At 35.2% G+C, this 17311-nt stretch overlaps 8 annotated features.

Moving 5' to 3' along the window:
- Window positions 517-1215: an enhancer, noted in NCBI's record as "OCT4-NANOG-H3K27ac-H3K4me1 hESC enhancer chr12:34841066-34841764 (GRCh37/hg19 assembly coordinates)". NCBI's record gives its function as "activates a minimal SCP1, AML or CMV promoter by ChIP-STARR-seq in primed H9 embryonic stem cells {active_cell/tissue: H9 hESC(primed)}" and the evidence as "EXISTENCE:reporter gene assay evidence [ECO:0000049][PMID:30033119]".
- Window positions 7492-8211: an enhancer, noted in NCBI's record as "OCT4-NANOG hESC enhancer chr12:34848041-34848760 (GRCh37/hg19 assembly coordinates)". NCBI's record gives its function as "activates a minimal SCP1, AML or CMV promoter by ChIP-STARR-seq in primed H9 embryonic stem cells {active_cell/tissue: H9 hESC(primed)}" and the evidence as "EXISTENCE:reporter gene assay evidence [ECO:0000049][PMID:30033119]".
- Window positions 8212-8931: an enhancer, noted in NCBI's record as "OCT4-NANOG hESC enhancer chr12:34848761-34849480 (GRCh37/hg19 assembly coordinates)". NCBI's record gives its function as "activates a minimal SCP1, AML or CMV promoter by ChIP-STARR-seq in primed H9 embryonic stem cells {active_cell/tissue: H9 hESC(primed)}" and the evidence as "EXISTENCE:reporter gene assay evidence [ECO:0000049][PMID:30033119]".
- Window positions 10723-11366: an enhancer, noted in NCBI's record as "OCT4-NANOG hESC enhancer chr12:34851272-34851915 (GRCh37/hg19 assembly coordinates)". NCBI's record gives its function as "activates a minimal SCP1, AML or CMV promoter by ChIP-STARR-seq in primed H9 embryonic stem cells {active_cell/tissue: H9 hESC(primed)}" and the evidence as "EXISTENCE:reporter gene assay evidence [ECO:0000049][PMID:30033119]".
- Window positions 11383-11938: an enhancer, noted in NCBI's record as "OCT4-NANOG hESC enhancer chr12:34851932-34852487 (GRCh37/hg19 assembly coordinates)". NCBI's record gives its function as "activates a minimal SCP1, AML or CMV promoter by ChIP-STARR-seq in primed H9 embryonic stem cells {active_cell/tissue: H9 hESC(primed)}" and the evidence as "EXISTENCE:reporter gene assay evidence [ECO:0000049][PMID:30033119]".
- Window positions 11939-12493: an enhancer, noted in NCBI's record as "OCT4-NANOG hESC enhancer chr12:34852488-34853042 (GRCh37/hg19 assembly coordinates)". NCBI's record gives its function as "activates a minimal SCP1, AML or CMV promoter by ChIP-STARR-seq in primed H9 embryonic stem cells {active_cell/tissue: H9 hESC(primed)}" and the evidence as "EXISTENCE:reporter gene assay evidence [ECO:0000049][PMID:30033119]".
- Window positions 14394-14935: an enhancer, noted in NCBI's record as "OCT4-NANOG hESC enhancer chr12:34854943-34855484 (GRCh37/hg19 assembly coordinates)". NCBI's record gives its function as "activates a minimal SCP1, AML or CMV promoter by ChIP-STARR-seq in primed H9 embryonic stem cells {active_cell/tissue: H9 hESC(primed)}" and the evidence as "EXISTENCE:reporter gene assay evidence [ECO:0000049][PMID:30033119]".
- Window positions 15156-15780: an enhancer, noted in NCBI's record as "OCT4-NANOG hESC enhancer chr12:34855705-34856329 (GRCh37/hg19 assembly coordinates)". NCBI's record gives its function as "activates a minimal SCP1, AML or CMV promoter by ChIP-STARR-seq in primed H9 embryonic stem cells {active_cell/tissue: H9 hESC(primed)}" and the evidence as "EXISTENCE:reporter gene assay evidence [ECO:0000049][PMID:30033119]".

Raw genomic sequence — 17311 nt, forward strand, 5'->3', positions numbered from 1 at the left:
TCTCAGAAACTACTTCATGATGTGTGCATTCAACTCATTGAGTTTAAACTTTCTTTTGATAGAGCAGTTTTGAAACACTCTGTTTGAAAAGCCTGCAGGTGGATATTTGAAGTGCTTTGAGGCCTTCTTTGGAAACGTTAATATATTCACATAAAAATTGGACAGAAGTATTCTCAGAAACTTCTTTGTGATGTCTTCACTCAACTCACAGAGTTTAACTTTCCTTTTGATAGACCAGTTTTGAAACAATCTTTTTGTAGGATTTACAGGTGTGTATTTAGAGGGCTTTGTGGGCAATGGTAGAAAAGGAAATATCTTCACATAAAAACTAGACAGAACCATTCTCAGAAACTTCTTTGTGATGTGTGTATTCAACTCTGTGAGTTCCTTTTGATAGAGCAGCTTTGAAACACTCTTTTTGTAGAATTTCCAAGTTAATATTGAGAGCGCTTGGAGGCCTATATTAGAAAAGGAGATATCTTCATATAAAAACTAGACAGAATCATTCTCAGAAAATAATTTGTGATGTGTGCATTCAACTCACAGAGTTTAACCTTTCTCTTGATTGTGATGTGTGAGTTCAACTCACAGAGCTTAAACTTTCTTTTGATAGAGCACTTTTGAAACACTCTGTTTGTAAAGTCTTCAAGTGGATATTTGGAGCACTTTGAGGCCTTCTTTGGAAATGGGAATATCTTCACGTAAAAAGTAGACAGAAGTATTCTCCGAAACTTCTTTGTGAAGTCTGCACTCCACTCACAGACTTGAAACTTGATTTTGATAGAGCAGTTTTGAAACACTCTTTTTGTAGAATTTGAAGTGGATTTGTAAAGCACTTTGAGGCATATGGTAGAAAAGGAAATATCTTCATATAAAAAGACAGAATCATTCTCAGAAACTACTTTGTGATGTGTGCGTTCAACTCACACAGTTTAACCTTTCTATTCATAGAGCAGTTTTGAAACACTCTGTTTTTAAAGTCTGCAAGTGGATATTTGGACGTCTTTGAGGCCTTCGTTGGAAACGGGATTTCTTCATTTAAAACTAGACAGAAGAATTCTGAGAAACTTCTTTGTGATGTGTGCATTCAACTCACAGAGGTGAAGCTTCCCTTAAATAGAGCAGTTTTGAATCACTCTTTTGCTTGTATTTCCAAGTGCATATTTAGAGTGCTTTGAAGCCTATAGAAGAAAACAAAATATCCTTCATATAAAAACTAGACAGAATCATTCTCAGAAACTACTTTGTGATGTGTGCATTCAACTCACAGAGTTTAACCTTTCTTTTGATAGAGCAGTTTTGAAACACTCTGTTTGTAAAGCCTGCAAGTGGATATTTGGAGTGCTTTGAGGCCTTCGTTGGAAACGGGCTTTCTTCATATAAAACTAGACAGAAGAATTCTCAGAAACTTCTTTGTGATGTGTGTATTCATCTCACAGATTTGAACCTTCCCTTCGACAGAGCACTTTTGAAACACTCTTTTTGTAGAATTTCCAAGTTAATATTGAGATCGCTTGGAGGCCTATATTAGAAAAGCAAATATCTTCACATAAAAACTAGACAGAATCATTCTCAGGAACTACTTTGTGATGTGTGCGTTCAACTCACAGAGTTTAACCTTTCTTTTGATAAAGCAGTTTTGAAACACTCTGTTTGTAAAGCCTGCAAGTGGATATTTGGAGTGCTTTGAGGCCTTCTTTGGAAACGATAATATCTTCACATAAGAAGTAGACAGAAGTATTCTCAGAAACTTCTTTGTGATGTCTGCACTCAACTCACAGAGCGGAACTTTCCTTTTGATAGAGCAGTTTTGAAACACACTTTTTGTAGAATTTGCAAGTGTGTATTTGGCGGGCTTTGAGGCCTATGGTAGAAAAGGAAGTATCTTCCATAAAAGCTGGACAGAAGCATTTTCAGAAACTACCTTGTGATGTTTGCATTCAACTCACAGAGTTGAACATTTCTCTTGATAGAGCAGTTTTGAAACACTCTTTTTGTTGAATCTGTAAGTGGATATTTGCACCTTTTCGAGGCCTTCTTGGGAAACAGGGTTTCTTCATATAAAACTAGACAGAAGAATTCTCAGAAAATTCTTTGTGATGTGCGCATTCAAGTCACCGAGTTGAACCTTCCTTTTCACAGAGCAGTTTTGAAACACTCTTTTTGAAGAAGTTCCAAGTGGATATTTAGAGCGCTTTGAAGCCTTTGGTACAAAAGGAAATATCTTAATACAAAAACAAGACAGAGTCCATCTCAGAAACTCCTTTGTGATGTGTGCATTCAACTCACAGAGTTTAACCTTTCTTTTGATAGAGCACTTTTGAAGCACTCTATTTTTAAGTCTGCAAGTTGATATTTGGAGCGCTTTGAGGCCTTCTTTGGAAACGGGAATACCTTCACATGAAAAGTAGACAGAAGGATTCTCAGAAACTTCTTTGTGATGTCTGCACTCAACTCACAGAGTTGAAACTTCCTTTTGATCAAGCAGTTTTGACACACTCTTTTTGTAAAATTTGCAAGTAGATATTTATACCGCTTTGAGGCCTATGGTAGAAAAGGAAATATCTTCACAAAAGCTAGACAGAAGTATTCTCAGAAACTACTTTGTGATGTTTCCATTCAACTCACAGAGTTGAACATTCCCCTTGATAGAGCAGTTTTGAAACACTCTTTCTGTAGAATCTGCATGTGGATATTTGGACCTCTTTGAGGCCTTCGTTGGAAATGGGATTTCTTAATATAAAACTAGACACAAGAATTCTCAGAAACTTCTTTGTGATGTGTGTATTCAACTCACAGAGGTGAACCTTCCTTTTGATAGAGCAGTTTTGAAACCCTCTTTTTGTTGAATTTCCAAGTTAATTTTGAGAGCACTTGGAGGTCTATATTAGAAAAGGAAATATCTTAATAAAAAACTAGACAGAATCATTCTCAGAAACTACTTTGAGATGTGTGCATTCAACTCACAGACTTTAACCTTTCTTTTGATACAGCAGTTTTGAAACACTCCGTTTGTAATGTCTGCAAGTGTATATTTGGAGCGTTTGAGGCCTTATTTTAAGGGGAAAAATCTTCACATAAAAAGTAGACAGAAGTATTCTCAAAAACTTCTTTGTCATGTCTGCACTCCACTCACAGAATTGAACCTTCCTCTTGATAGAGCGGTTTTGAAACACTCTTTTTGTAGTATTTGCAAGTGGATATTTAAAGCGCTTTGAGGCCTATGGTAGAAAAGGAAATATCTTCATATAAAAATTGACAAAATCATTCTCAGAAACTACTTTGTGAAGTATGTGTTCAATTCACGGAGTTTACCCTTTATTTTGATAGAGCAGTTTTGAAACACTCTTTTTGTAGAATTTCCAAGTTGATATTTAGAGCGCTTTGAAGCCTACGGTACAAAAGCGAATATCTTAATATAAAAGCTGGACAGAATCATTCTCAGAAACTACTTTGTGATGTGGGCATTAGACTCACAGAATTTAACCTTTCTCTTGATAGAGCACTTTTGAAACGCTCTGTTTGTAAAGTCTGCAAGTGGATATTTGGAGCGCTTTGAGGACTTCTTTGGAAGAGGGAATAGCTTCACATGAAAAGTAGACAGAAGTATTCTCAGAAACTCCTTTGTGATGTCTGCAACCCACTCACATATTTGAAACTTCCTTTTGATAGAGCAGTTTTGAAGCACTCTTTTTGTAGAATTGGCAAATGGATATTTAAAGAGCTTTGAGACCTATGGTAGAAAAGGAAATATCTTCACATAAAAACTACACAGAATCATTCTCAGAAACTACTTTGTGATGTGTGCATTCAACTCATTGAGTTTAACCTTTCTTTTGATAGAGCGGTTTTGAAACACTCTGTTTGTAAAGCCTGCAAGTGGATATTTGGAGTGCTTTGAGGGCTTCTTTGGAAACGTTAATATCTTCACATAAAAATTGGACAGAAGTATTCTCAGAAACTTCTTTGTGATGTCTTCACTCAACTTACAGAGTTTAACTTTCCTTTTGATAGACCAGTTTTGAAACAATCCTTTTGTAGGATTTACAGGTGTGTATTTAGAGGGCTTTGAGGGCAACAGTAGAAAAGGAAATATCTTCACATAAAAACTAGACAGAACCATTCTCAGAAACTTCTTTGTGATGTTTGCATTCAACTCAGAGAGTTCAACATTCCTTTTGATAGAGCACTTTTGAAACACTCTTTTTGTAGAATCTGCAAGTGGATGTTTGGACCTCTTTGAGGCCTTCCTTGGAAACGGGAATTTCTTTACATAAAAACTAGACAGAGGAATTCTCAGATTCTTTTTGTGATGTCTGCATTCAACTCACTGAGTTGAACCTCCCTTTTGACAGAGCAGTTTTGAAACACTCTTTTTGTAAAATTTCCAAGTTAATATTGAGAGCGATTGGAGGCCTATAGTAGAAAAGGAAATATCTTAATACAAAAAACAGACAGAATCCTTCAGAGAAACTGCTTTGTGATGTGTGCATTCAACTCACAGAGTTTAACCTTCCTTTGATAGAGCAGTTTTGAAACAGTCTGTTTGTAAAGTCTGAAGGTGGAAGTTTGGAGTGCTTTGAGGCCTTTTTTGTAAACGGGAACATCTTCACATAAAAGCTAGACAGAAGTATTCTCAGAAACTTCTTTGTGATGTCTGCACTCCACTCACAGAGTTGAAACTTCCTTTTCATAGAGCAGTTTTGAAACCCTCTTTTGGTAGAATTTGCAAGTGGATATTTAAAGCGCTTTGAGGCCTATGGTAGAAAAGGAAATATCTTCATATAAAAACTAGACAGAATCATTCTCAGAAACTACTTTGTGATGTGTTCATTAAACTCACCGAATTTAACCTTTCTTTTGATAGAGCAGTTTTGAAACTCTCTTTTTGTAGAATTTGCAAGTGTGTATTTCTGGGCTTTGAGGCCTATGGTAGAAAAGGACGTATCTTCACATAAAAGCTAGACAGAAGCGTGCTTAGAAACTACTTTGTAATGTTAGCATTCAACTCACAGAGTTGAACATTCCTCTTCATAGAGCAGTTTCAAAACACTCTTTTTGTAGAATCTGCAAGTGGATATTTGGAACTCTTTGAGGCCTTCGTTGGAAACTGGTTTTCTTCATATAAAACTAGACAGAATTCTCAGAATCTTCTTTGTGATGTGTGTATTCAACTCTGTGAGTTCCTTTCGATAGAGCAGCTTTGAAACACTCTTTTTGTAGAATTTCCAAGTTAATATTGAGAGCGCTTGGAGGCCTATATTAGAAAAGGAAATATCTTCATATGAAAACTAGACAGAATCATTCTCAGAAAATAATTTGTGATGTGTGCATTCAACTCACAGAGTTTAACTTTTCTTTTGATTGTTATGTGTGAGTTCAACTCACAGAGTTTAACCTTTCTTTTGATAGAACACTTTTGAAACACTCTGTTTGTAAAGTCTTCAAGTGGATATTTGGAGCACTTTGAGGCCTTCTTTGGAAATGGGAATATCTTCACATAAAAAGCAGACAGAAGTATTCTCAGAAACTTCTTTGTGAAGTCTCCACTCCACTCACAGACTTGAAACTTGCTTTTGATAGAGCAGTTTTGAAACACTCTTTTTGTAGAATATGCAAGTGGATTTTTAAAGCACATTAAGGCATATGGTAGAAAAGGAAATAACTTCATATAAAAACTAGACAGAATCATTCTCAGAAACTATTTTGTGATGTGTGCATTCAACTCACACAATTTAACCTTTCTATTCATAGAGCGGTTTTGAAACACTCTGTTTGTAAAGTCTGCACGTGGATATTTGGACCTCTTTGTGGCCCTCGTTGGAAACGGGATTTCTTCATTTAAAACTAGACAGAATTCTGAGAAACTTCTTTGTGATGTGTGCATTCAACTCACAGAGGTGAAGCTTCCTTTCAATAGAGCAGTTTTGAAACACACTTTTGCTAGAATTTCCAAGTTCATATTTAGAGTGCTTTGAAGCCTATGGAAGAAAACGAAATTTCTTTCATATAAAAACTAGACAGAATCATTCTCAGAAACCACCTTGTGATGTGTGCGTTCAACTCACAGAGTTTAACCTTTCGTTTGATAGAGCAGTTTTGAAACACTCTTTTTGTAGAATCTGCAGGTGGATATTTCGACCTCTTTGAGGCCTTCGTTGGAAACGGGATATCTTCATATAAAATTAGACAGAAGAATTCTCAGAAACTTCTCTGTGATGTGTGTATTCAACCCACAAATTTGAACATTCCTTTCAATAGAGCAGTTTTGAAACCCACTTTCTGTAGAACTTCCAAGTTAATATTGAGATCGCTTGGAGGCCTATATTAGAAAAGCAAATACCTTCACATAAAAACTAGACAGAATCATTCTCAGAAACTACTTTGTGATGTTTGCGTTCAACTCACAGAGTTTAACCTTTCTTTTGATAGAGCAGTTTTGAAACACTCTGTTTGTAAAGCCTGCAAGTGGATATTTGGAGTGCTTTGAGGCCTTCTTTGGAAACGTTAATATCTTCACATAAGAAGTAGACAGAAGTATTCTCAGAAACTTCTTTGTGATGTCTGCACTCAACTCACAGAGCGGAACTTTCCTTTTGGTAGAGCCGTTTTGAAACACACTTTCTGTAGAATTTGCAAGTGTGTATTTAGAGGGCTTTGAGGTCAAATGTAGAAAAGGAAATATCTTCATAAAAACTAGACAGAAGCATTCTCAGAAACTCCTTTGTGATGTTTGCATTCCACTCGCAGAATTCAACATTACTTTTGATAGAGCATTTTGAAACAGTCTTTTTGTAGAATCTGCAAGTGGATAATTTGACCTCTTTGAGGCCTTCATTGGAAACGGGAATTTCTTCACGTAAAAACTAGACAGAAGAATTCTCAGATTCTTTTTGTGATGTGTGCATTCAACTCACCGAGTTGAACCATCCTTTTGACAGAGCAGTTTTGAAACACTCTTTCTGAAGAATTTCCAAGTGGATATTTAGAGCACTTTGAAGCCTATGGTACAAAAGAAATATCTTAATATAAAAACAAGGCAAAAATCAATCTCAGAAACTACTTTGTGATGTGTGGGTTCAACTCACGGAGTTTAACCTTTCTTTTCATAGAGCACTTTTGAAACACTCTGTTTGTAAAGTCTGCAAGTGGATATTTCGAGCGCTTAGAGGCCTTCTTTGTAAATGGGAATATCTTCACATAAAAAGAAGACAGAAGTATTCTCAGAAAGTTCTTTGTGATGTCTGCACTCAACTCACAGAGTTGAACTTTCCTTTTGATAGAGCTGTTTTGAAACACTCCTTTTGTAGAATTTCAAAGTGCATATTTAGAGTGCTTTGAAGCCTACAGTAGAAAACGAAATAATTTCGTATAAAAACTAGACAGAATCATTCTCAGAAACCACTTTGTGATGTGTGTATTAAACTCACAGAGTTTAACCTTTCTTTTGATAGAGCAGTTTTGAAACACTCTCTCTGTAGAATTTCCAAGTGCATATTTAGAGCATTTTGAAGCCTATAGTAGAAAAGGAAATATCTTCATATAGAAACTAGACAGAATCATTCTCAGAAACTTCTTTTTGATGTGTGCATTCAACTCACAGAGTTTTACCTTTCTTTTGATAGAGCAGTTTTGAAACAGTCTTTTTGTAGAATTTGCAAGTGTGTATTTGGCGGGCTTTGAGGCCTATGGTAGAAAAGGAAGTATCTTCACATAAAAGCTAGACAGAAGCGTTCTCAGAAACTACCTTGTGATGTTTGCCTTCAACTCACAGAGTTGAACATTTCTCTTGATAGAGCAGTTTTGAAGCACTCTTTGTTGAACCTGTAAGTGGATATTTGGACCTTTTTGAAGCCCTCGTTGGAAACTGGATTTCTTCATATACAACTAGACAGAAGAATTCTCAGAAACTTCTTTGTGATGTGTGTATTCATCTCACAGTGTTGAACCTTCCTTTTGATAGAGAAGTTTTGAAACACTGTTTTTAGACTTTCCAAGTGGAAATTTAAAGCGCTTTGGGGCCTATGGTAGAAAAGGAAATATCTTCAAATAAAACCAGACAGAATCATTCTCAGAAACTACTTTGTGATGTGTGAGTTCAACTCACAGATTTTAACATTTCTTTTGATAGAGCTGTTTTGAAACTCTCTTTTTGTAGAATTTGCAAGCGTATATTTAAAGCGCTTTGAGGCCTATGGTAGAAAGGGAAATATCTTCATATAAAAACTAGACAGATTCATTCTCAGAAACTACTTTGTGATGTGTGTGTTCAACTCACACAGTTTAACCTTTCTTTTGATAGAGCGGTTTTGAAACACTCTGTTTGTAAATTCTGCAAGTGGATATTTGGACCTCTTTGGGCCATTCTTTGGAAAAGGGATTTCTTCATATAAAACTAGACAGAAGAATTCTGGAAACTGCTTTGTGATGTGTACATTCAACTCACAGAGTTGAACATTCCTTTCGATAGAGCAGTTTTGAAACAATTTTTGTAGAATTTCCAAGTGCATATTTAGAGTGCTTTAAAGCCTATGGTAGAAAATGAAATATCTTCATATAAAACTGGACAGAATTATTCTCAGAAACCACTTTGTGATGTGTGCATTCAACTCACAGAGTTTAACCTTTCTTTTGATAGTGCAGATTTGAAACACTATTTTGTAGAATTTACAAGTGTGTATTTTGAGGGCTTTTTAGCTTATGGTAGAAAAGGAAATATCTTCACATAGAAACTAGACAGAAGCATTCTCAGAAACTGCTTTGTGATGTTTGCATTCAACTCACAGAGATCAACATTCTTGTGATAGAACAGATTTGAAACACTCTATTTGTTATATCTGCAAGTGGATATTTTGACCTCCTTCAGGCCTTCGTTGGAAACGGGATTTCTTCATATAAAACTAGACAGAAGAATTCTCAGAAACTTCTTTGTGATGTGTGCATTCAACTCACTGAGTTGAACCTTCCTGTCGACAGAGAAGTTTTGAAACACTCTTTTTTTAGATTTTCCAGGTGGATATTTGAAGCACTTTGAGGCCTCAGGTAGAAAAGGAAATATCTTCATATAAAAAGCATACAGAATCATTCTCAGAAAATACTTTGTGACGTGTGTGTTCAACACATGGGGTTTAACCTTTCTTTTGATAGAGCAGTTTTCAAACACTAGTTTTGTAGAATTTGCAAGTGAGTATTTGGAGGGCTTTGAGGCCTATGGTATAAAAGGAAATATCTTCACATAAAAGCTAGACAGAAGCATTCTCAGAAAGTGATCTGTGATGTTTGCATTCAACTCACAGAGTTGAACATTCCTTTTGATAGAGCAGTTTTTAAACACTCTTTTTGTAGGATATGCATGTGGATATTTGGACCTCTTTGAGACCTTCTTTGGAAACGGGATTTCTTCATATAAAACTAGACAGAAGAATTCTCAGAAACTTTTTGTGTTGAGTGTATTAAACTCACAGAGTTGAAACTTCCTTTTGATAGAGCAGTTTTGAAACCCTCTTTTTGTAGAATTTCCAAGTTATTATTGAGAGCGCTTGGAGGCCTATATTAGAAAAGGAAATATCTTAATATAAAAAGTAGACAGAATCATTCTCAGAAACTAATTCATGATGTGTGCGTTCAACTCACAGAGTTTAACCTTTCTTTTGGTAGAGCAGTTTTGAAGCACTCTGTTTGTAAAGTCTACAAGTGGATATTTGGAGCACTTTGAGGCCTTCTTTGTAAATGGGAATATCCTCACTAAAAAGTAGAGAGAAGTATTCTCAGAAACTTCTTTGTGATATCTGCACTCCACTCACAGAGTTGAAACTTGCTTTTGATAGAGCAGTTTTGAAACACTCTGTTTGTAGAATTCGCAAGTGGATATCTAAAGTGCTTTGTGGCCTATGGTAGAAAAGGAAATATCTTCATATAAAAACTAGACAGAATCATTCTCAGAAACTTCTTTGTGATGTGTTCATTCAACTCACCGAGTTTAACCTTTCTTTTGATAGAGCAATTTTGAAACTATCTTTTTGTAGAATTTCCAAGTGTGTATTTGGAGGGCTTTGAGGCCTATGGTAGGAAAAAAACTATCTTCATATGAAAGCTAGACAGAAGCATTCTCAGAAACTAATATGTGATGGTTGTTTTCAACTCACAGAATTAAACATTCCTCTTGATAGAGCAGTTTTGAAACACTCTTCTTTAGAATATGCAAGTGGATATTTGGACCTCTTTGAGGTCTTCGATGGAAACGGGATTTCTTCATATAAAACTAGACAGAATTCCCAGAAACTTCTTTGTGATGTGTGTATTCAACTCACAGAGTTGAGCTTTCCTTTTGATACAGCAGTTTTGAAACACTCTGTTTGTAAAATCTGCAACTGGATATTTGGACCTCTTTGAGGAATTCGTTGGAAACGGGATTTCTACATATAAAACTAGACAGAAGAGTTCTGAGAAACTTCTTTGTGATGTGTGCATTCAACTCACAGAGATGAACCTTCCTTTCGATAGACCTGTTTTGAAACACTCTTTTTTTAGAATTTCCAAGTGGATAATAAAAGCACTTTGAGGCCAACGGTAGCAAAGGAAATATCTTCATATGAAAAACAGATAGAATCATTCTCAGAAACTACTTTGTGATGTGTGCATTCAACTCACAGTGTTTAACCTTTCTTTTAATCCAGCAGATTTGAAACACTCTTTTTGTAAAATTTGCTAGAGGATATTTAAAGCGCTTTGAGCCCTACAGTAGAGGAGGAAATATCTTCATATAAAAACTAGACAGATTCATTCTCAGAAACCACTTTGTGATCTGTGCATTCAACTCACAGAGTTTAACCTTTTTTTCATAGAGCAGCTTTGAAAGACTCTTTTTGAAGAATTGGCAAGTGGATATTTAAAGCACTTTGAGGCCAGTTATAGAAAACGAAAATCTTCATATAAAAACCAGACAGATTCATTCTCAGAAAACAGTTTGCAATGTGTGCGTTCAACTCACAGAGTTTAATCTTTCTTTTGGTAGAGCAGTTTTGAAGCACTCTGTTTGTAAAGTCTGCAAGTGGATATATGGATCTCTTTGAGACATTCGTTGGAAACGGGATTTCTTCATATAAAACTAGACAGAAGAATTCTAAGAAACTTCTTTGTGATGTGTGCATTGAACTCACAGAGTTAAACCATCATTTTGAAAGGGCAGTTTTGAAACACTCTTTTTGTAGAATTTCCAAGTGGATAACTAAAGCGCTTTGAGGCCTATGGTAGAAAAGGAAATATCTTCGTATAAAAAACAGATAGAATCGTTCTCAGAAACTACTTTGTAATGTGTGTGCTCAACTCACAGAGTTTAACCTTTCTTTTTATCCAGCAGATTTGAAACACTCTTTTTGTAGAGTTTGCAATTGTATATTTAAAGCGCTTTGAGGCCAATGGTAGAAGAGGAAGTATCTTCATATAAAAACTAGACAGATTCATTCTCAGAAATCAGTTTGTGAAGTGTGCGTTCAGCTCACAGTTTTAACCCTTCTTTTGATAGAGCAGTTTTGGAACACTCTGTTTGTAAAGTCTGCAAGTGGATATTTGGACCACTGTGAGGCATTCGTTGGAAACGGGATTTCTTCATATAAAACTAGACAGAAGAATTCTCAGAAACTTCTTTGTGATATGTGCATTCAACTCACAGAGTTAAACCCTCCTTTTGATAGAGCAGTTTTGAAACACTCTTTTTGTAGAATGTCAATGTGTATATTTAGAGTGCTTTGAAGCCTAAGGTGGAAAACGAAATGCCTTCATATGAAAACAAGACAGAATCATTCTCAGAAACCACGTTGTGATGTGTGCATTCAACTCACAGAGTTTAACCTTTCTTTTGATAGAGCAGTTTAGAAACATGCTTTTTATGGAATTTGGAAGCGTGTATTTAGAGGGCTTTCGGGCCTATGTTAGAAAAGGAAATATCATCACATAGAAACTGACAGAAACATTCTCAGAAACTACTTTTTGATGTTTGCATTCAACTCACAGAGTTCAACATTCCTTTTGATAGAGCAGTTTTAAAACTCTCTTTTTGTAGAATCTGCAAGTGGATATTTGGACCTCCTTGAGGCATTCGTTGGAAACGGTGTTTCTTCATATAATACTAGACAGAAGAATTCTTAGAAACTTCTTTGTGATGTGTGTTTTCAACTCACAGAGTTGAAGCTTCCTTTCGATAGAGTAGTTTTGGAACACTCTTTTTTTAGAATTTCCAAGTGGATCTTTAAAGCGATTTGAGGCTTATGGTAGAAAAGGAAATATCTTCATATAAAAACCAGACAGAATCATTCTCAGAAACTTTTTTGTGATGTGTGCGTTCAACTCACCGATTTTAACATTTCTTTTGATCCAGCATATTTGAAACACTGTTTTTGTTGAATTTGCAAGTGGATATTTAAAGCGCTTTGAGGCCTATGGTAGAAGAGGATATATCTTAATATAAAAACTAGACAGATTCATTCTCAGAAACCAGTTTGTGATGTGTGCGTTCAACTCACGAAGCTTAACTTTTCTTTTGATAGAGCAGTTTTGAAACTCTCTGTTTGTAAAGTCTGCAAGTGGATATTTGGCCTCTTTGAGGCATTTGTTGGAAAAGGGTTTTCTTCATATAAAACTGGACAGAATTCTGAGAAACTTTTTTGTGTTGTGTGCATTCATCTCACAGAGTTGAGCCTTCCTTTCAATAGAGCAGTTTTGAAACAATCTTTTTTTAGAATTTCCAAGTGGATAATTAAAGTGCTGTGAGGTTTATGGTATAAAAGAAAATATCTTCGTATAAAAACTGGAGAGAATCAGTCTCAGAAACTACTTTGTGATGTCTGCATTCAACACACAGAGTTTAAATTTCTTTTGATAGAGCAGTTTTGAAACACTCTTTTTGTAGAATTTGCAACCGTGTATTTAGAGGGCTTTGGGACCTATGGTAGAAAAGGAAATATCTTCACATAAAAACTAAACAGAAGCATTCTCAGAAACTACTTTGTGATGTTTGCATTCAACTCGCAGAGTGCAACATTCCGTTTGATAGAGCAGTTTTGAAACACTCTTTTTGTAGACTCTGCAAGTGGATATTTGGACCTCCTTGAGGCCTTCGTTGGAAATGGGAATTCTTCATATAAAACTAGACAGAAGAATTCTCAGAAACTTCTTTGTGATATGTGTATTCAACTCACGTAGTTGAACTTTTCTTTCAATAGAACAGTTTTGAAACACTCTTTTTTTAGAATTTCCAAGTGGATATTTAAAGCGCTTTGAGGCTTATGGTAGAAAATGAAATATCTTCACATAAAAATCAGACAGAATCATTCTCAGAAACTACTTTGTGATGTGTGCGTTCAACTCACAGAGTTTAACCTTTCTTTTGATAGGACAGTTTTGAAACACTCGGTTTGTAAAGTCTGCAAGTGGATAATTGTACCTCTTTGAGTCATTCGTTGGAAATGGGATTTCTTCTTATAAAACAAGACAGAAAAATTCTGAGAAACTTCCTTGTGATGTGTGCATTCAACTCACAGAGATGAGCCTTCGTTTTGATGGAGCAGTTTTGAAACACTCTTTTTCTAGAATTTTCAATTGCATATTTAGAGTGCTTTGAAGCCTATGGTAGTAAATGAAATATCTTCATATAAAAACTAGAGAGAATCATTCTCAGAAACCACGTTGTGATATCTGCGTTCAACTCACAGAGTTTAATATTTCTTTTGACAGAGCAGTTTTGCAACACTCTTTTCGTAGAATTTGGAAGCATGTATTTAGAGGGCTTTGGGGCCTCGGTTAAAAAGGAAATATCATCACATGTAAACTAGACAGAAGCATTCTCAGAAACTACTTTGTGATGTTTGCATTCAACTCAGAGTTCAACATTCCTTTTGATAGAGCAGTTTTCAACCACTGTTTTTGTAGAATCTGCAAGTGGATATTAGGACCTCCTTGAAGCCTTCGTTGGAAACAGAATTTCTTCACATAAAACTAGACAGAAGAATTCTGAGAAACTTCTTTGTGATGTGTGTACTCAACTCACAGAGTTGAAATTCCTTTTCATTAGAGCAGTTTTGAAACACTCTTTTTTTAGAATTTCCAAGTGGAACTTTAAAGTGCTTTGAGGATTATGGTAGAAAAGGAAATATCTTCACATAAAAACCGGACAGAATCATTCTCAGAAACTACTTTGTGACATGTGTGTTCAACTCACAGAGTTTAACCTTTATTTTTATCCAGCAGATTTGAAACACTCTTTTTGTAGAATTTGTAAGTGGATATTTAAAGCGCATTGAGGCTTAAGGTAGAAGAGGAAATATCTTCATATAAAAACTAGACAGATTCATTCTCAGAAACCAGTTTGTGATGTAGGCATTCAACTCACAGAGTTTAAGCTTTTTTTTCATAGAGCAGTTTTGAAAGACTCTTTTTGTATAATTTACAAGTGGATATTTAAAGCGCTTTGAGGCCTATTATGGAAAAGGAAAATCTTCATATAAAAACTAGACAGATTCATTCTCAGAAACCAGTTTCTGATGTGTGCATTCAACTTACAGAGTTTACCCTTTCTTTTGATAAAGCAGTTTTGAAACACTCTGTTTGCAAAGTCTGCAAGTGGATATATGGACCTCTTTGAGACATTCATTGGAAACGGGATTTCTTCATATAAAACTAGACAGAAAAATTCTCAGAAACTTATTTGTGATGTGTGTATTCAACTCACAGATTTGGATCTTCCTTTCAATAGAGCAGTTTTGAAACACTCTTTTTTTAGAATTTCCAAGTGGATATTTAAAGCACTTTGAGGCCTATGGTAGAAAAGGAAATATCTTCTTATAAAAACCAGAGAGAAACATTCTCAGAAACTACTTTGTGATGTGTACGTTCAACTCACAGAGTTTAACGTTTCTTTTGATAGAGCACTTTTCAAACACTCTTTTTGTAGAATTTGCAACTGTGTATTTAGAGGGCTTTGGGGCCTATGGTAGGAAAGGAAATATCTTCACATATAAACTAGACAGACGCATTCTCAGAAACCACTTTGTGATGTTTGTATTCAACTCACAGATCTCAACATTCCGTTTGATAGAGCAGTTTTGAAACACTCTTCTTGTAGAATCTGCAAGTGGATATTTTGATCTCCTTGAGGCCTTTGTTGGAAATGGGATTTCTTCATATAAAACTAGACAGAAGAATTCTCAGAAACTTCTTTGTGATGTGTGTATTCAACTCAAAGGGTTGAACCTTTCTTTCTATAGAACAGTTTTGAAACACTCTTTTTTTAGAATTTCCAAATGGATATTTAAAGTGCTTTGAGGCTTACGGTAGAAAATGAAATATCTTCACATAAAAACCTGACAGAATCATTCTCAGAAACAGCTTTGTGATGTGTGCATTCAACTCACAGAGTTTAACTTTCTTTACATCCAGCAGATTTGAAACACTCGTTTTCTAGAATTTGCAAGTGGATATTTAAAGCACTTTGAGGCCTATGGTAGAAGAGGAAATATCTTCATATAAAAACTAGACAAAATCATTCTCAGAAACCAGTTTGTGATGTGTGGGTTCAACTCACAGAGTTTAACCTTTTTTTTTTGATAGAGCAGTTTTGAAACACTCTTTTTGTATAATTTGCAAGTGGATATTTAAAGCGCTTTGAGTCCTATTGTGGAAAAGGAAAATCTTCTTATAAAAACTAGACAGATTCATTCTCAGAAACCAGTTTGTGATGGGTGAATTCAACTCACAGAGTTTAACCTTTCCTTTGATAGAGCAGATTTGAAAACCTCCGCTTCTAAAGTCTGCAAGTGGATATTTGGACCTCTTTGAGACATTCGTTGGAAACGGGATTTCTTCATATAAAACTAAACAGAAGAATTCAAAGAAACTTCTTTATGATGTGGGCATTCAACTCACAGAGTTGAAACTTCCTTTCAATAGAGCAGTTTTGAAACAATCATTTTTTTAGAATTTCCAAGTGGATAATTAAAGCACTTTTAGACCTATAGTAGAAAAGAAAATATCTTCGTATAAAAAACAGATAGAATCCTTCTCAGAAATTACTTTGTGATGTGTGCGTTCAAATCACAGTGTTTAACATTTCTTTTTATCCAGCTGATTTGAAACACTCTTTATGTAGAATTCAGAAGTGGATATTTAAAGCACATTGAGGCCTATGGTAGAAGAGGATATATCTTCATATCAAAACTAGACAGATTCATTCTCAGAAACCAGTTTGTGATGTGTGCATTCAACTAACAGAGTTTAACCTTGTTTTTCATAGGGCAGTTTTGAAAGACTCTTTCTGAAGGGTTTGCAAGTGGTTATTTAAAGCGCTTTGAGGCCAAATGTAGAAAAGGAAAATCTTCATATAAAAACCAGACATATTCATTCTCAGAAACCAGTTTGTGATGTGTGCGTTCAACCCACAGAGTTTAACCTTTCTTTTGATAGAGCAGTTTTGAAACACTCTGTTTGTAAAGTCTGCAAGTGGATATTTGGACCTCTTTGAGGCATTCGTTCAAAGCGGGATTTCTTCATATAAAACTTGACAGAAGTATTCTAAGAAACTTCTTTATGATGTTTGCATTCAACTCACAGTGTTGAAACTTCCTTTCGATAGAGCAGTTTTGAAACCCTCTTTTTTTTTGAATTTCCAAGTGGGTAATTAAAGCGCTTTGAGGTCTATTATGGAAAAGAAAATCTTCATATAAAAACTAGACAGATTCATTCTCATAAACCAGTTTGTGTTGTGTGCGTTCAACTCAAGGAGTTAACCCTTTCTTTTGATAGAGAAGTTTTGAAACCCTCTGTTTGTAAAGTCTGCAAGTGGATATTTGGACCTCTTTGAGACATTCGTTGGAAACGGGAATTTTACATATAAAACTTGACAGAAAAATTCTCAGAAACTACTTTTTGATGTGTGTATTCAACTTACAGATTTGAACCTTCCTTTCGATAGAGAAGTTTTGAAACACTAATTTTTAGAATTTCCAATTGGATAATTAAAGCACTTTGAGGCCTATCGTAGAAAAGGAAATATCTTCGTATAAAAAACAGATTGAATGATTCTCAGCAACTACATTGTAATGTGTGCGTTCAACTCACAGACTTTAAACTTTCTTTTTATCCAGTAGATTTCAAACACTCTTTTGGTAGGATTGGCAAGTGGATATTTAAAGCACTTTGAAGCCAATGGTAGAAGAGGAAATATCTTATTATATCCTCTTCTATGATAATAATATCATAGATATAATATGATAATAATATCATATTATAACTGGAAACATTCATTCTCAGAAACCAGTTT

Source organism: Homo sapiens, chromosome 12, assembly GCF_000001405.40.
Source record: "Homo sapiens chromosome 12, GRCh38.p14 Primary Assembly".
NCBI classification, from domain to species: Eukaryota; Metazoa; Chordata; class Mammalia; order Primates; family Hominidae; genus Homo; species Homo sapiens.